Raw genomic sequence first — 19,459 nt, 5'->3', positions numbered from 1 at the left:
TCATGCCATTGCACTCCAGCCTGGGCAACAAGAGTGAAACTCCATCTCAAAAAAAAAAAAAAAAGAAGAAGAAGAAGAAGAAAGAAGTGTCAACTAATAATTGCAATGAAATGGGACCAATACTATGATGTACATAGCAACAGAGTGCTCTGGGATCCCAGAGAAGAGAGCAACTCACCCTGGGCTGGAGGACCTTTCAGCTGAGCATTGAGGGATAAGAGTTCACCAGGCAGAGAGGATGGAAGAGGGCATTCTAAGCAGAGGGGACAGAAAGTGCAAAAAGCTAGGGATGTGAACAGAATACTGCATTCAGGGAATACTGAGAAATTCCACGTGGCTGAGTGTAGAGGAAGCGAGTGAGCCTGGAGGCTGATGGAGCCAGCTGGAGTACTCAGTTGGGGCCATGCTGAAGAGCTGGTTCAGAATTTATCCTATGACTGATAGAGATTTTTTTAGGGGGGATAGTGACATCATCTGATTTGTTTTTTAGCAAGAGAACACTGGCTTCCGGGTGGAGCAGTGATTATCAGCCCTGGCTACACATTAGAATAATATGGGGAGCTTAAAAAAGTCCTGTGCCTATGTTGCAGACCAGAGCAATTAAACAGGGACCCAGGCATCAGTATTTTCAAGATTATTCCAATGTGCAGCCAAGGTTGAGAACTACTGGTATGGGGAATACTCCAGAGAAAAAATTGGTGGCTGGAAGGCCAGTTAGGAGACTACAGGGCAAGACCTGCAGAATACAGCCAGGACAGTGTTCTCACTTTAGTGAATGCAGATTTACCAGGCTCCACCCCACTCAGTTCCAGATTCAGTAGGTCTGAGGTAAGCCCCGAGAATTTGCATTTCTAACCACTTCCCAGGGGATGCTGATGTTGCTGGTACAGGGACCTCACTTTGAGAACCACATAGCCTGGCACTGGCTATAGAAGAAAATGTACTGAAAGGTATTTAGGAGGCAGGGAGAGGGGAATCAGGCAATTGGGAGGATGGTGATGCTGTTAACCAAAACGAGAATGGAGAAGACCTTTTTTGCTTTGTTTTTGATGTAGGGAGAAGTTTGGACATGCAGAATTTGACATATTTGTTAGAAACATCTAGGTGAAAGCACCTCGTCAAGCAGCTGGAATTACTTTTCTAACCATCAGGAAAAAGTGAGGCGAATTCCGGGACAAATTAGGACCTTAAACTTACCCTAATTGAAGATAGATATGGACCTTTATATAGCTTGAGAATATATATTACTTATAATTAGAAACCTTTGACTGTGTGTGGTGGCTCATGCCTGTAATCCCACTACTTTGGGAGGCTGAGGCGGGCAGATTGCTTGAGCCCAGAAGTTCGAGACCAGCCTGGGCAACGTGGTGAAACCGCATCTCTATTTAAAAAAAAAAAATTAGCTGAGTATGGTGGCTTGAGCCTGTAGTCCCAGCTACTAGGGAGGTTGAGGCTGCAGTAAGCCATTATTGTGCCTCTGCACTCCAGCCTGGGTGACAGAGGAGACCATCTCAAAAAAACAAAAAACAAAAAAAAAGAAAAAGAAAAACACTTTTTTTTTCTGATGACATGTTTAATTAACAAAAGACTAATGGTGTTCTTTTAGCCACTGGAAAAAAAAAGATTGTATATATATATATATATATATATATATATATATATATATATATATATATATATATATATATACAGTTAACCCTTGAACAACATGGGTTTGAACTACATAGGTCCACTTATAAGTGGATTTTCTTCTGCCCCTTCCACCCTGAGACAGCAAGACCAACCCTTCCTCTTCCTTCTCAGCCCTTTGAATATGAAGACAGAAAGTTGAAGAACTTCATGATGATCCACTTCCATTTAATGAACAGTAAATATATTTTCTCTTCCTTATGATTTTCTTAATAACATTTTCTTTTCTCTAGCTTACTTTATTGTAAGAATACAGTATAAAACACATACATAAAATGTGTGTTAATTGGTTGTTTATCTTATTGGTAAGTCTTCTAGTCAACAGTAGATGATTATTAGGTAAGTTTTTTTTGAAGAGTCAAAAGTTACATGTGGGCCGGGTGTGGTGGCTGACTCCTGAAATCCTAGCACTTTGGGAGACCGAGGCGGGAGGCTCACTTGAGACCAGGAATTCAAGACCAGCCTGGACAACACAGCAAGATTCTGTCTCTGCAAAAAATTTAAAAAATTAGCCAGGTGTAGTTGCATGTGCTTGTAGTCCTAACTGTTTGGGAGGCTGAGGTGGGAGGATGGCTTAAGCCCAGGAGGTTAAGGCTGCAATGAGCTATGATTGTGCCACTGCACTCCAGCCTGTGTGACAGAGCTAGATCCTGTCTCAAAAGAAAAAAAAAAAAGTTACATGTGGATTTTCTACTGCACACAGGGTGGGGAGTGGGGGTAGGGGGTGGGGGGCTTGGCACCTCTAATCCCTGTGTTGTTCAAGGTCAACTGTATATATCTATATGTGCCATTAAACCTTGTTAAGTATACTTAGGTCAAAATGTTTAAACTGCTTCCACCAGCTTTTTGCATTCATCTTCATACATAAAAGAAAATAAAACTTTTATTTGTCATATTGATAGTTGTCATGCTTTCTTTTTATTTTATTTTACTTTTATTTTTTATTTTATTTTATTATTTTTTTTTTGAGAGGGAGTCTCGTTCTGTTGCCCAGGTTGGAGTGCAGTGATGCGATCTCAGCTCACTGCCAGCTCCGCCTCCAGGGTTCATGCCATTCTCCTGCCTCAGCCTCCCGAGTAGCTGGGACTACAGGCACCTGCCACCATGCCCGGCTAATTTTTTTGTATTTTTAATAGAGACAGGGTTTCACCGTGTTAGCCAGGATGGTCTCAATCTCCTGACCTCGTGATCCGCCTGCCTCAGACTCCCAAAGTGCTGGGATTACAGGCGTGAGCCACCACCGCGCCCGGCTGCTTTCCTCTTATTAATGAGAAGAGTCCAAGGTTCCCCCAGTGGTAAAACACAGGGGTTGGGTTTTGTGCCTGCTGAGGACCCATCCACTTCCAGCATTCCATGAATTTGCCTTTGATTCTCTGTCAGTTTTGCCGGAAAGATCTCCGAGAGTTGGTAACACTGGAAAAGTTTTTTTGCCCATTTTAACTTTTTTAGAGTTCATTTCTATCAAAAACTAGTAAGGCCCTATTGTCAGAGCTATGTCTTAAAGGTATTTCCAAACTTGTTTCTTATTCTTCACTTGACAAGTGCTGTCACAGGGCTCCATCACTCCTAGAGTAACAGCTACCAATAAACAGAAAATTATTTCCAACCAGCTAACATGCTGTTTACTTTCCAGAAAAATTGCACTTTCCAATCTGACAGTTGATCAAGGGGTATCCCGCTGCTGTCAGCAGGAAGAAATGTTTAAACACAGAGATGGGAGTTTAAACATTTTCTCATTATCACAGAATAAGGGGAAAAAACACAAATAAATAAATAAGTAAAAATGGCATCCAGACTCTGTAACCCCCTGCTGGGAGCGTAATGAAGCTGGGTCATGTGACCTGAAGGAGTGGGCTTTTATCTCTGGCCCCAGTATCGTTACTCAAGTGACACCTGTCACATGACCCAACTTCGGTCTTTTATCTGCCTTCCCCAGGCACTCTTTTGGGGAACTGTCTTTTCCAGAGATGCGTGGCCCATTGCAGCCATTGTAGTGGGCGCTGTTCGTGTGATTAGCCTGGCCTTTTGTGTTTCCTGCCTCGAATCCGCTAGATCTTTCTCTAAACATTGAAACATAAAAAAATTACAAAATACCTACAAAACTGAAACAAAAACCAAAAAGATCTCAAAGCGGAAAAAATCAGTGCCATTATTTTATTCATACAAGTTTTCAGGAATTGGAATTGGTCTGCAGAGAAAAATATCTATATTTTAAAATTCTGATCCTCATTTTTTAATCTGTTCTTCAGAGTAGGAGGTTAGTGAAACCCAGGGTTCCTGCAGCTCTAGCCAGGCTTACCAAATGGAGCCACAGTCACAAACAGAACCAGAATCAGGTGTTGTCGACTTTCCCTCCCAACGTCATCCCCAAACCCAAACTCACTGTTAAATCTAAGTTGGTTCCATATTGTCCTCCTGCCTTCCCTTCCAGGTCAAACCCCATGGGTATTAGCATATTTAATTCCCCTGTTCCTTTTTTTTCATTTACTATCACCACCACCACCTAATTTTTATAGTGCTTACTATATGCCAGGCACTGTTTAAAATATTTTATTACTTATTATTTTTTGAGATGGAGTCTTGCTCTGTCACCCAGGCTGGAGTGCAATGGTGTGATGTTGGCTCACTGCAACCTCCACTTCCTGGGTTCAAGCGATTTTTGTGCCTTAGCCTCCCGAGTAGCTGGGATTACAGGTGTGTGCCACCACACCTGGCTAATTTTTGTATTTTTAGTAGAGACCAAGTTTCACCATGTTGGCCAGGCTGGTCTCGAACTCCCGACCTCAGGAGATCCTCCTGCCTCGACTTCCCAAAGTGCTGGCTTACAGGCGTGAGCCACAGCGCCCGGCCCAATTTATTTATTTTTTTTTGAGACAGGGTCTTGCTCTATCACATAGGCTAGAGTCCAGTGGCACCACCACAGCTCACAGCAATCTCTGAACTCCTGGGCTCAAGCGATCCTCCCACCTTAGCCTGCCAAGCAGCTGGGATTACAAGCGTGTGCCACCATGCCCAGCTAATTTTTTAATTTCTTGTAGAGATGAGGTCTCACTATGTTGTCCAGGCTAGTCTCAAACTCTTGGCCTCAAGTGATCCTCCCACTTTGGCTTCTCAAGGTGCTGGGATTACAGGCATGAGCCACCGTGCCCAGCTTCTTTAAGATATTTTAAATGTATTAATTCGTTTAATCCTCACCACCAACTCTATGAGTCAGATACTATTATCATTCCTATCTTACAAAGGAGGAAGTGAAAGCAGAGAAGGGAGGTAACTTGCCCCCAAATCACACAGTTAGTAAGTGGCAGAGACAGATTTGAACAAATGCCTGATTGTGTACCACCTGGCTCCTGATTCTGTACACCTGCTCAATGGTTTGATTATGTTTTATCTGTGTACTTTACCTCTTCTCCAGTCTCAGAGGACATGCATCTCTTACCCTCTCCCAGGCAAACATAGACTCTCAATCTCCTTTCCTTCAATCTCTGAATCTTCACTGATTCATTTATTCCACAAGTGTTTCCTAAGCACTGACTATGTGTCATGCACAATTCTAGGTGCTTGGGATATATCAGTAACAGAACATATCAAAATCATTTTTCCTGTGGGGCTTGATTTCTACTGTGGGAGATAGAAAACATAACAAATGTAATACACTGGTACATCATATATGAAAAAACAAAGCCAAAACAGAACAGGACAAGGGAGAAAAAGTGTGCTGGGTTGCAGTTGAAACATGGTAGAGTTCATTCATTCAAAAGACATTTACTGAGACTCTGCTACATGCAAGACAGTGTTCAAGGTGCTTGAGATACGCTAGTGGATAAAACAGATTCCTAGGCCGGAGGTGGTGGCTCACCCAAAGGCAGGTGGATCACCTGAGGTCAGGAGTTCAAGACCAGCCTGGCCAACATGATGAAACCCCATCTCTACTAAAAATACAAAAATTAGCCGGGCATGGTGGCATCCATCTGTAATCCCACCTACTTAGGAGGCTGAGGCAGGAGAATTACTTGAACCTGGGAGGCGGAGGTTGCAGTGAGCTGAGATCACACCATTGCACTCCAGCCTGTGTGAGAAGAGCAAAACTACATCTCAAAAAAGTATAAATAAAATAAAATAAAACATATTCTTATCTTCATGGAACTTACATTCCAGCTGGGGGGAGAGAGAAACAATAAATATCATAAATTGGTAAATCTATTATGGAGCACGACATCAAGTGATAAGATGCTTTAGAAAAATAGGGCAGGTTAAGGGGGATTGGTGTACAGGAGGCTTCCAAATTAGTGGCCCATTAAATAGGGTGGCCAGGATAGGCTTCACCAACCGGTGACATTTGGACAAAGGCTTGAAGTAGGCAAGGGAGTTGGCTGTGTGGATATTTGGAAGAGGGGTTCTAGGCAGAGGCACGAGCCAGGCAAAAACTCGAGAAGGGATCATGCCTGGTATTTTTGGATTATCTACTGATTCTTCAACTTCTTTCTCTCTTTTTTCTTCAGCTCATAAAAATGTATAATCTCTCCTATGCCAAACAAAACACGAAACCTGTCAGTCCTTCCGTGCTCTAGTGAGTCCTCCATCTTTCCTATCCTTTTATGCAACAATTTCTGAAAGATATTCCCTCATTCTGCTTTCTTACCTGTCACTGTCTCTTTAATCCATCGTGCTCTTCTATGACCACCATGCCATGGAAGCTGCTCCCTTGTAGGTTACCAAGGACAGGTAGCCTCCCAAATCCACGGCCTTTCTTTGTTCACACCTTCCTGGTGGTTTTCTCTGCAGGCTACTCAATCTTGGAACGCTCTTGTTAACTTCTGTCACACAGAATGGTTCTAGTCCCTCCCCTCTCCGCACAACACCTCCCCTTTCCACCAATTTCTAACCACTAATGCTTTGTCTCCTTTGTTGATTCTTCCATCTCCAAGCTCTAAATACTGCTTAAATAAAGCTAATATTGAGCTTTCCCAAGGTACAATTCTTGTGCTTCCTCTCTTCAGATATGTTCTCTTGGGCAGTCACATCCTGGGGACTTCAAGGACCATCAGTGTGTAGATGACACTCACTCACAGCCATCTCCACGTCCTGTTCCCAGGCCGGCGGTTCTAATCATCTTATGCACACCAGTACCTCAAACTCAAGATGTCTAGAAGTGAGCTCATAACCGTCTCTCTCAAAGGAAGTACCCAACTGTGAATGATGTAACAAGCCATCCAGGCCCCCAGATTGGAAACCTTATGCCCATTCTTCACCTCCCACTGCCCCCAACACCACACGGCCCAATGATCAATTAGTTGCTGTGGCAGATTCTATTGGTTGTCTGCCCAACAGTCTGTCCCGACTTCTTCCTCAGTCATCTCCTCTGTGATAGGGCAGACTGATAGGTGGTCATGACTATTTAGGAATTTGCCCCTCAGGAGAGGTGGTCCTGCTTCAGATCAGGAGGAAATCCTGAACATTCTAAAGCAGCTATCGAATTCCCCTTGCTAGCATTTCAGAAGCAGGTATGTGACAGTCTTATCAGAAGATATAAAGAGAACTGTGCTTTCTTGCTTTCTTTCCTTTTTTTTCTTTCTTTCTTTTTTTTTTTTTTTTTGTTAAGACAGTCTCACTCTGTCACCCAGGCTGGAGTGCAGTGGCATGATCTCAGTTCACTGCAACCTCTGCCATCCAGGTTCAAGCAATTCTCCTGCCTCAGCCTCCTGAGTAGCTGGGATTACAGGCACCTGCCAACACGCCCAGCTAATTTTTGTAATTTTAGTAGAGATGGGATTTTACTACCTTGGCCAGGCTGGTCTTGAACTCCTCACCTCGTGATCCACCCGTCTCAGCCTCCCAAAGTGCTGGGATTACAGGCGTGAGCCACTGCGCCCAGCCTGTGCTTTCTTTTAAAATGAAGCATACAGGAAGAGATGGTCTCTTCTTCAACTGGATGTAGACATATCTGCATATGATGCTGGGAATTGTGGCAGGATCTTGTGACCATGATAGGAACCAGCCTGAGGACTAAGGCAATGAAGGACACTGAAGATGCAGTGAAGAAAGATAGAAAGACCCTACGTCCCTGTGATGTCATTGACCCATCAGATGAATCAATCTTGGAGCCACCTACTTCTAGGCTTCTTATGTAAAATAATACCCTTGTGGGTTAAGCCATTGAATTGGGGTTTTCAGTTCATTACAACCCAAAACACCCTGTTCTTTCTTTTTTATTAGTTTTATTATTATTTTTTTTAGCGATGGAGTCTTGCTCTATTGCCCAGGCAGCCTCAAACTCCTAGGCTCAAGGGATCCTCCTACCTCAGTCTCCTGAGTAGCTGGCAATACAGGTGCATGTCACCTCTCCCAGCTCCTGTCCTTTCTATAATACTGTCACATTGGGGATCTTTTGTTGTTGTTGTTGTTGTTTTTGAGAAGGAGTCTCACTCTGTCGCCCAGGCTGGAGTGCAATGGTGTGATCTCGGTTCACTGCAAGCTCCAAGTAGGTGGGACCACAGGCGCCCGCCACCAAGCCTGGCTAATTTTTTTTTGCATTTTTAGAAGAGACGGGGTTTCACCGTGTTAGCCAGAACGGTCTCAATCTCCTGACCTCGTGATCTGCCCACCTTGGCCTCCCAAAGTGCTGGGATTACAGGCGTGAGCCACCGCGCCCTGCCCGGGGATCTTCTTATCCCTTCAATTGCCTGCCTGGCACACTCTCCCTTCATGACAAAGCCTATGTCATCTCCTCTGTGATAGGGCAGATTGACATGTTGTCATTGGATCTTATATTTATTTACAGCTAACTCTCCATTAGACTATATGATCCTTGGGGAAACTGTTAATTTTTGTATTTCTATTGCCTGGATGTTTGTTGAATAATTAATGAGAAGGATTATTTTACATCTTGGTTCCATTTTGGTCTACTTACAAGATTTTCTTGTAATATCCAATGATATTAATAGTTCTTACAATAGAAACAATTGTGTATAAGGATGATAATAAACTTGGATGATTTCATTACTATGCACATGAGATCTTATATCAGGTGCACATCAACCCACTTAGGGATAGAGAAGAGTTAGAAGTAGAAAATGTGCAGAAAATCAGGGAGGATGGACTAAAATAAAACTGCCCTCGGAATTTATTAATGAAAGGTGTCAAAACTAATCAAAAGGTGTTCATCTTCTCTGTCAATGTAACCGTCAGGAAAAGACCTTCTGAGTTGTTTGGTTCTAAGAAGTGTAACTTTTCAGAGTGATTTATTTTCTTCCAGCATCCACTGGAGGCTCTCAGAGATTTTATTTTTAAAAGGCAAAATCTTTAGAGACTAACTTCAAGGTGGTATTAAATGCACACTTAAAATATCAAGAAATGTTAGAAGACATCACTATCAACTCTCGTATAAATCCTGACACTCTATGTCAGCACCGTTCAACAGAACTTTCTGCAATAATAGAAATGTTCTGTATCTGCATCATGCAATATGGCAGCCACCAGCCTCTGAGCTATTGACATTTGAAATATGGTCAGTGTGAATGAGAAACTGATTTTTACATTTAATAATTAATTCAAATGTAAATATAAAGTCACATGTAGCTAGTAGCTACCACGTTGGATAGTGCAGGTGTGTGTTTTATGTGTCCTGGTAGCAGTCAGGATAGACTAGGTTATACTATAGTAACAAATAACCTCAAAATATTAGTGGCTTAAAACAATAAAGTTTTACTTCTCTCTTCCACTACACCTTCATCATATGTCATCCAGGAACTCTGTTCTACATCTCCTCATTCTGGGATCATCTTAAACACTGCTGGTCACTGGAACCGAGGGAAAGTAAAGTGAAATTTGAGTCAGATGTGGTGGTGCACACCTGTAGTCCTGACTACTTGGGAGGCTGAGGTAGGAGGATTGCTTGAGCCCAGGAGTTTGAGTCTGTAGTGTGTGATGATCACAACCTGTGAATAGTCACTGCATGCCAGCCTAGGCCACATAGTGAGACCCCGTCTCAAAAAACAGAACAAAAAAAAAAAAAAAAAAAGGAAAGAAATTTGGAGGGTCTTATACTGGCAATCAAATGAATGCTTGGCCCAGAAGTGACAGAGATCACGTCCACTCACAATTCATTAGCCAGAACTAACCACGTGGCCATATCCACCCATCAGAGAGCCAAGAAGTGCGACCCCATTATGGATGCCTGGAAGACAGAAATATTAGGAGAATAGCACTAGTGGCTAAGTAAGCATCACTAAAATAACTAGTGCCTCAAACTGAACAAAAATAAATTATGTTTTTTAAAGTCTGGTGTTGGTCTATACGGAAGAAACAACCAAAACACGGGATGAAAAAATATGCACAAATTCCAGGAATGTTTATTTGATAAAATTGAGAAATGAAAGATTTAAATGTTTTAGAGTCTTATAACATTTATTAAGCTTTTGAATAGGTAAATCCATTAAAGAAGGAAGCACAAGCATAATCATATGCATAAGGTATATGCATATGCATAAGCATAATGTTCCTCCATTATAAAGAGGATAATTCTGTCAACTTCCACTTAATAAAATCAATTTTTTAATAACAAAATTTGTCTATTCATTCCTGCAGCAATAGTATCTAAGCATAATTCCAAGTATAATCTGTACACAGCTGTTCCAAAGTCATTATTGGAGAATCTTGGAATTAGACGGGACATTGGAGGTCAGCTCTTCTAACCTCCAACATGGGAATCCCTCCTATAGCTCTCATATCTTCAGAGAGGCAGAGGAATCCCACTACTGTTGTGGGAACTCTTTGTATTGATGGACAGGTAAAACTGCTCAAGAACTCTTGCTGATGCGTCAACAGTAGCATCCCTGAGCTTTCGATTGGTACTAGCATTATCTCTGGGGGACAGCGAAATTATACTATTAATTCATATTGTACTTAAAAGTGCCAATTTCCACTAAGTCATAGCCTTTTTTAAGTTGTAGCCCAAAGTGTAAGAATTTAAGTCAGATGAAATTTGATGCAAGTAAGTGTTGTTTTGGCCTGCTGTTCATTGGCTTCTAGCAAGGTGTCTTTTGAATCATGATCCAATACTAAATAGCAGCTGCCTCTGCAAGAGTTGTGTATTCTCTAAATTCGATAGGTGTCAGGAACATTGGAGAACCAGGTCTGAGGTTTGCATCTTCACTCTGGCATGCTACTATGAAGGAGTTACCTAACTTCACTGAGCCTCAGTCTCCTCTTTTGTGAAATGGAAGTCATAAATTAATAATAATAGTACTTACTTCAAGGAGTTGTATAAAGTTGTCCATGTACTCTGATTTATTCGAGTAATTAATAAAAATATTTGACCAGAATAGGACTCAAGACTGAACCTTGTAGCACACCACGGCTGGCCTTTCTCTGGGTTAAATAAACACCATGATTTGAGTACATATATCTGCTCCATCACCCAGCCTACACTGTTTCATCTTTCAGGTATAGCTGGACAGTCTTTGTCAAATGCCTTACTAAAATCAGATACTTACTCAGGCAGGTTGATTTGGGCTACCCATGTGTCTTTTTCCTTTTTCCATCTCAGACATTGGGGGATAGTTACTATTTTTTAATTATCTCTTAATTAGTTCCTCCTTGCTCTTCCAAAGGATATACAGAGGTCTCTGGTTTCTAGGCTGCTACATTTCCTGAGATGATCCCTGGACAGAAGCGATTTGAGTTTCCCTGGCTGCTTTTAGAAGGAGTCATTGTATAAAACGGCACACGTGTTAGCTAAGACAGATCTCTCATTTTACTTGAGGGGTGTGTGTGTGTGTGTGTGTGTGTGTGTGTGTGTGTGTGTGGTGGTGCAACAGGGCTTAAATTACATCTTTGGAACTCTGCTCCCAACTACTTATTCAATATCTCCACCATCAAACCAGCGCTTAGATTCCCCATCACTGTTGCCATCATCACAGACAATTAAGATTCAGTAGGAGGAGATAGCCTGAAATTCATTTCTAATCAGCAGCCAAATCCAAACTTCTAAAATATGGGTTGGGTGGTAATACGTTCTGATAATCCAGTTTAGTGAAGGAGGAAGTGCCCCCTACAAAATAATAATAAATAGTCCTCAGGAAGTCCTTTTGTTAACAATGTTATCCAAGAAACCATCTTTTTCTAAACTTTAGGCTAGTTTTCTCCTTGCCACAGAAATCCTTTTGTTGGGAGAAATTGTAAGTGAACACAGGAGTGGCAGGTCTCTGTAAGCACCAGCTCTGTCTCCAGATTCTTTTAAATTGTCAGTCTCTTATCTGTCTTTTTGGGAAATCAACCTTCTAGCCCAGGAATCTCTTAACAAATGCCAAAATGAATGAAGTTATTCAGAAGCCCTCTTCTTAGACTTAGTTTATGTCCAGTTTTTTTAAATCAATCACTTAAATTCTATGCAAATGACAATAGCAATAACCTTCCACTGAATTTTCTTCCACTATTATGTACTATTGCCTTGAACACCATATTTAAACTATTCCAGGTCATAGGTGAGGACATAAAGCCCCTTGTTCAGTATGGAGTTAGATTTGAAGCTTCTTAGTAAGCTGAAGCAAATGAAAACCGAAACTGCAGAAATACAGCCCTGGAAGTGAATGAAAAATAAACACAATCAAAATAATGAACAACAGAGTATTGATGAAGGAAAATCAGTTAAACATTGCAAAGTTATTGATGGCATTATATATATTGATAGAAAAGGTAATGATAAAACATAAGGGAGGCAGCATCTTAACCCTGGTTATAAGAACTAAGAAAGCTTTGCAAATAATCAAAATCTATCTCCAGATGGCTTCTATAAGCTATCATTGTAACTCACCACCACCAACTGCTCAAAACATGCCAAGCTTTGAAAGAATATGTGTAAAGCCCTTACTGTAGTGCCTGGTGTGTGGTATCTATCCAGTAAATTTTAGTTCCCCTCTATTTCTCTGTTGTAGACATCAGTACACATTTTTTCCCTGCCTGAAACCGACATTTTGAAGCTCTTTCAAGAATCTTAATTTTGAGGCATTGCTGCCAGTTACGAAGTCCTAATACGCCAATTTACATTTTGACTCTCCTGAAAAGTGAATATTTTAACATAAATTCAATTCACTGGAAAAGATTTACAGGCCCCAAGTGTCCATGTGATTACTGCTTTTAGTCTCTCTAACTCTAGCACTCTAGATTTTGCTGATCCCAAGCCATTTATTAAACAGTTTAATTGCTCTAGCTTTTCCCTCTTGTGGCTCATCTCAGTTTTATCTCCTTACATTCGTACCAAGGCCTAGGGACATCATGAGCTTACTCCAGCAGAGGCAAAATCTGCCTTCTCCCTTCTTCAATTGCTGGCGCAGGCCACAAGCTTGACATGCTGCATTTAATTGATTTTCTATTGTGACCAATTTATGTCTACAGGTAGCAATTTTTTGTGGAAGGTCACTGTAGATCAGAAAGGCAAGGTTATCTCCCTACCTTCCAGCTGCTTAAGAAAATAAAATAACAACAATAGAAATAATAATAATGTTAATGGAGCACCACCATCTGAGCCCATTTCCATTAGTATCTTTGATAATTTTATGAAGGGTAAGGCCCTCCACTTCACAGAATGCAGCTAAAGTTCATTCTGTCCTTATAACTAGCAGGTTTAAAATAATTATACAGTAAAAGCTCTGCTCTAGAGAATATTTTGCTTGGGAAATACCATATTATATCACCAATTGTAATTCTAAATGTATATTGTCAAAATACAAACTTAGGTATTTCATAAAATGCTCTGAGGATCAGCTATAATTTTAAACTTCCCTGCTCTTTGAAGACAAGACAATGATCTTAGAAGAGCCAGGAAGCCGATATCTTTAATGTGTATATGCCTTTAAATCGTGACAGCCAAAGATAGAGATCAAAAGAAAGAATGAAGAGTGAATCCAGCCATGTGAGTGATATTGTTGGGGGGTGTGTAGGGAGATACCGGTGGTTACCATCTAGGCCCCTGGGAAGCACGGCCAAGCTGTGGTTGTCAAATGGGTGGCCAAATCATAGGATAATGCTTGTGGTTTGGAATATAGCCAGGGTCACCTAAAGGGCGGGCAGGCTGGCTGGCAGGCTGTGCATGTGGGCTCTACCTTGATTCCTCTATCTTGTTTGCTGTCCCATCTACCACCATGGAAGCCCCAGTATGGGAAGTGCTCTTGAGACATCTATAGGGTTGTCTATACTACGGTGACTTTTGGAGTTGTCCCACCTGGCTTCCTGTGCCTGCTAGCAGTACTCATTTAAGGGTATGGTGGGTTTGGGAAAATCCTTCACAGCACCCCTTCCTCCTCAAGATTACCCTGGAAGGTAATTTGTGCCACAAAGGTGACCAACCATCCTGGTTTACCCAGGACTGCACCAATTCTAGTACTGAGCATCCTACATCCCGGAAACCCCTTTGTTTTGGGGAAAACTTTGTTTGTTACCCTTACCAGGACAAAATTTTGCCCTGTCAGTTGACAGTGAGAATTCCCTAGTTAACGGAAAACAGTTGTTTTCAATTTGCAAAAGTTGCACCTTAGAGTCTATACAAATAGATTTCCAGCTGGGCACTGTGCCTCACGCCTATAATCCCAGCACTTGGGAGGCTGACGCACCAGGAGTGCAGTGGTGCGATCTTGGCTCACTGCAACCTCTGCCTCCCTTCGTCCCACCTGTGTCAGCTGAAGATCTCACACCGATGAGGAAGCATAGAAGTTCTGTCTTAGGAGCTTTATCCCTGCTCCGGGAGTGGAAGAGAAAGGCAATGCATGTAATTATTCTCTTTGCCCAGCCCAGGCAATGGAGGCCTGAAGAGGCAAGGCCACCTGTCCTAGAGCTGGCGAAGAAGAACTAGAAACAGCACAGAGGTGCTCTGAATCCCTGAGCAATGTCCTCTCCACCCGGCACCAATTGCTTTTCAATTTGTTCCATAAGGAACCTCACTGTTGCAACCACTTACCTGGAAGAACCTTGGTGATCTCGCCCTTTCTTTTCACCAGCATTTGCTAAACTGGGCTGGGTGGTGACCTTTCTGGTAGGAGGCCAAAAGGTCACACATTTCTGGCTTTAGCCTCACTCCTGAAACTGTAAACAAAGACTCCTCTGTAGGAATGAAAAGAGAGAAGCACCAATATGTTATTTCCTGGGATCTTCTGTGGTATATTTTTGTCTGTTGTAATATTTGCCACCTGAAGAAATGTCAAAACATGAGCCAGACTTATTTACTAATAATTCATACTGACTCATAGATGACTCACTTTACTGAATCCAATAGTTGGCAAGTGCCTTCTATTTAATTCAATTTAATGCATATTTACCAAGTGAACACTTGTGCAAGGCAGTATGCTACTTGTTGAAGATGATAAAAATAGGAATACACACACATACACATACAAAGAAGGACCAAAAGTGAGGCACAAACAAAGGATTATGATAACCTCTCCCTCCAAGTCTATGGAGCACAAACAGAGCATAGACAAGGTGCCCTTTGAGACTTGAAGGATTACTATGCCCTCAATAGTGAAGGACTGCCAAGGAGGATATTCCCGGTTGAGGGATCAGCATGAGCAAAGATATGAAGGAAGAAAAGTGTTTGAGGGAACTGCAAGTCATCTTGCATGGTTAGAACAAGACAGACTGGGAGATAAAGTTGGAAAAATAGTTGGAACCAGATGGTGAAGGGAACTAATATCATGTCAAGGAGTCCGGACGTTAGTTAGAGGGTGATGTTCGAGAGTGATAGGCAATGAGCATCACGTTGGGCTAGATATGTTTTAGGAAGTTTCCAATTTTGTTAGATACATTAGGCAATCTTTTTTTTTTTTTTTTTTCTTTTTTTGAGACTGAGTCTCACTCTGTGGCCCAGGCTGGAGTGCAGTGGGGTGATCTCGGCTCACTGCAGCCTCCACTTCCTGGGTTCAAGTGATTCTCCTGCCTCAGCCTCGCAGTAGCTGGGACTACAGGCAAGCATCACCACATCTGGCTAATTTTTGTATTTTTAATGGAGACAAGGTTTCACCACGTTGGCCAGGCTGGTCTTGAACTCCTGACCTCAGGTGATCCACCTGCCTCAGCCTCCCAAAGTGCTGGGATCATAGGCATGAGCCTCGGGGCCTGGCTGGCAATCTATTTATATAGACTCTAAGGTGCAACTTTTGCAAATTGAGAAAAAAAAAACTATTTGAAAATATATATACTACCTTTGATGTCCAAATCAGGTATTTGGTTAGCTCAGAATACTGGCAGTTCGCATTTTCCCAAGTGCCTGTGTTTGTTAAGTGCTTGCTACTCCTGAATGCTCACTACACTAAAGCTACAAGCCAGTTCCTCCAAAAGTTGACATTGCAAGGGGCTTATCTGAAAAGTACGGAAAATAAAACTTCCTGGCAGATTGCTGTAAGTTTAAAGAAGATAATATATGCAAAACACCTTGTGTTAGTTTATGATACACAATATGTTTTTAATAAATGGTAGCCATTGTTACAAGTATTAGCACAGATATCTGAGAAAAATAGCAAGAGGCAGCAGCCACATTGTCACCAAAGCACATCCGCAAAATTTACTCAGGGCCCCTTTCCACTTGGGCATTGCTTTTCCCAGGTTCACAATTTGCATAAATCTGGGGTGCTCAAAATATCTCACAATTTAACAAAAAGAGAGCCTTCTGTTATTACTGCACCAAAAGCATAAAATGCCTTAAATAATACTGTTTGCTGGAAGCTGCTCACACCCAAAGGGAAGAAATAAACTTGCCAGCTCTGCCTCGCCTGGCCTAAACTTCTGCCCTTAAATGCTGTGGGTAATCTGGGGTCTCGTTGTCTTGTATTTGGAATCGCATATTCCAAATAGGCTGGAAAGGGGAGCCATCATACCATTTGTTGATATGCATAAGACATTTTCACACGGATATTATAATATGCAATTTTGTATTCTACTTTCTATTAGATCTTGTCATAGCATAGACAGTTAAATGGCTAAAATAAACAGTGCGTATACTTTACCAATTATTCTCAAATCAACTCAAATCCAAACCATTTGGGGAACTTCTCTCGGGGAGAAGTATCCTCTTGCCTTGGGGACAGTGGCATGAAAAGCTGGGATTTCCCTCCGGCTTCCTTGCCCCTCAAAAGCAGCAGCTCCTCAAAAGCAGGGAGGGAGGGAGAGAGAGAGAGACACTATCTGGCAGAACATGCTGGGAAGGCAACCGGTTAATCAAAAGGATTCCAATTTGGCTGTGGACTGCCAGACTCTCCTTCCCAACTCATAGAAAAAGAAAAAGGAGGAAGAAAGAAAGAAAGGGAAATAAAAAACGAAAAAAGCTGCAGCGCGGCTCTCCTTCAGCAATCTCACAAATGCAAAACCTTCCACTCTGGTGACTCCTCATTAGCTTCCCGAGGCTGACAGCATAATTATCGCAGCTGCTTCACTCTTAGAATAAATAAATATGAAAGCGGGTGTTTAAAAATTTTTTGAGAAGGGAAATTCAGTCATCTAGACAGTCGGCAGGACAAGTTTATTTAAAACTTTTAGATTCTTATGTATTTAGATCATTTCGGAACGAGATAATGAGATAGTTGTCTTTTTAGTCTAATTGAGTTCCTAAGCTCATGGCTGTTGGCTGTCACCCCTTTCAAACTTTGCTTTAACTTTCCTTCCTTTAGAAATCTGATCCTGGTGTCTCCATTTACTCTTCCTGGGCTGATAACCTGAAGGCTCAGTGCACTGGAGTGCAGAAAGTGACTTAATGGGATTGAGGGGCTAAATAACCTTTCACAGGAAACAAGATAATCAAATCTCTTTTACTTGCCCATAATCGCTAAAAGAGAAAGCACAAGCAAAAAAAAAAAAAAAAAAGGTTGAAAATTAAGCTATCATTTCAAAATGTCTTGTAATCTTCCGTGTCACGTGGGTTTTGCACTACTCTCCCACATCATCAATCCATCAGCTGGAGATGTTTAGTGCATTCAATTATTCAAAGTGCACACATCCTCGTGATTATGCGGTAATTTTAGCTCATGTGTATGTATAGAGAATTCATATCTTCAAAGCCCAGAGGATCACACAGCACTTTAAATTGAAGTTGCTAACTAACACGAAGTGCACTTAAAACTCTGACTAGGGGCACAATACACATACATTTCCGATTAAAGCAGATGATCTTTCCTTTTAAAATTAATTATGCCTATTTATTTTTTCCTTTCCCTCCTGCCCTTCATTCTCCCAGGACCAAATTTATATGAACCCTTGCATTCGGTGAGTTAGAAGCATTATAAAAATAAATATTCTGTCAACCTGGGGTAAAGAAAACTAGTGTTAACCCATCATGCAGATGGAGAAACTGAGGTTTATTACAGCCAAAACACATTATGTTGGGAAACAAAAAAGAAGAAAACTCAGGTCCTTTGACTCTCAATCCACAGCTCAGACTGCCTGTGCCATTTTGTTTTAACTTATTCTTTTAAACAACTAAGACAATATAACACCAGTTTAAAGAAAGCTCTGAGAAAGGAAAAGAAATGACCTACAACCCCCCTAAACTAGAATAGCATTTTTATTTTGTACACTACCTTTCAGTTTTGTTCATGTGCATATTAATTTTCAGAGATACTTTATAATATGCAATTTTGTATTCTAGTTTCTTATAGCTCATGTTACAGCATAAGAACTTTCATAATATCACACAATTCTATTAATGATCATTTAAAATGGTTACATAGTACTGTATGTTGAGTCAATATACCAACATTTGTCCAATTGTTTCTCTGGTGTTTAACAGTGACATTGCTTCTTTTTATTTAAAAAATTGTAAAACATTATAGACAACACTGCAATGAACATTTTCATTAATCTAGGTTTTAGGGTTTTCCCCCCTATTCAATTATTTCTTTGGATAATTTCCAGGAACAAAGGTATAGGGTATAAGGGTATGATCATTTTTATGGCTCCCGATATGCATGCTATAACACTTTGCAAAAGTTTCAATACCATCAGCAGAGAATCATTTTACCACAATCTCATCAACACTGGGAGCTATTAGGTTACAGGAAAAAACAACTAATTTAACGGTAATTTGTATTTTTTTAATCCCTAGTAAAGCAGTCAATTTATTCCATGTGTTGCTGTGCTCTTTTTGTTTCCTCTTGCATAAATTGCTATTTTATGCCTTCAACTCATTTTCCACTGGATTCCTTGATGTTTTCTTATAAAACTGAATGAGTCACAGGTGAAACAAAAACATTTATCACCATCGATTAAGAAATCTTGGCCAGACAAGGTGACTCACGCCTGTAATCCCAGCACTTTGGGAGGCCAAGGCAGGTGGATCACCTGAGGTCAGGAGTTTGAGACCAGCCTGGCCAACATGGTGAAACCCTGTCTCACTAAAAATACAAAAATTAGCCAGGCGTGGTGGCACAGGCAGGTAATCCCAGCTACTCGGGAGGCTGAGGCGGGAGAATTTCTTGAACCTGGGACATGGAGATTGCAGTGAGCCAAGATCATGCCATTGCGCTCCAGCCTGGGCGACAAGAGCAAAAGTCCATCTCAAAAAAAAAAAAAAATCTTAAAACCCAAGGCTGATTGCATATATTATTACAAGAAAAGAAAAGAAAAGAAAATAAACTAAAGTAAGATGGCATTGAGGAAGAAGTTGGTCCTGGGGTGTAAATCTCTATTCAACATAAATTGAGCCCTCTTAATTGTGAGATATTAAACACGCTACCTGGAGATGTGTGGAATCTTTCCCAGAAAAGCTTTAAAATAAACACAGTACATGAGAGAG

The 19,459-nt window shown here is 41.2% G+C and overlaps 1 protein-coding gene across 9 annotated transcripts in view, besides 1 other annotated feature; it reads right to left on the bottom strand.

Annotated features, from left to right (window-relative positions):
* Window positions 3,103-3,826: an enhancer, noted in NCBI's record as "NANOG-H3K4me1 hESC enhancer chr2:202766463-202767186 (GRCh37/hg19 assembly coordinates)". NCBI's record gives its function as "activates a minimal SCP1, AML or CMV promoter by ChIP-STARR-seq in naive H9 embryonic stem cells {active_cell/tissue: H9 hESC(naive)}" and the evidence as "EXISTENCE:reporter gene assay evidence [ECO:0000049][PMID:30033119]".
* The window catches only part of CDK15 (cyclin dependent kinase 15), an 89,122-nt gene continuing 79,678 nt past the window's right edge, over window positions 10,016-19,459 (bottom strand). For 7 of the 9 annotated variants that reach the window (NM_139158.2, NM_001366386.2, XM_011511652.2 and 4 more), the window contains 2 exons: window positions 14,639-14,781; window positions 10,016-12,265 (listed from right to left, as the gene is read on the bottom strand). In NM_139158.2, the coding sequence (NP_631897.1) occupies window positions 14,672-14,781 (110 nt within the window). In that variant the 3' untranslated portion in view covers window positions 10,016-12,265; window positions 14,639-14,671. Of the gene's footprint in view, window positions 12,266-14,638; window positions 14,782-16,113; window positions 17,107-19,459 lie in introns of those variants that run through there. The other 2 variants (NM_001261435.1, NM_001261436.1) reach the window with 2 other exon arrangements.

This window comes from Homo sapiens, chromosome 2 (assembly GCF_000001405.40).
Source record: "Homo sapiens chromosome 2, GRCh38.p14 Primary Assembly".
Classification (NCBI taxonomy): domain Eukaryota; kingdom Metazoa; phylum Chordata; class Mammalia; order Primates; family Hominidae; genus Homo; species Homo sapiens.
The sequence above is the reverse complement of the archived record's forward strand: the minus strand, read 5'-3'. Positions and strand labels throughout refer to the sequence as shown.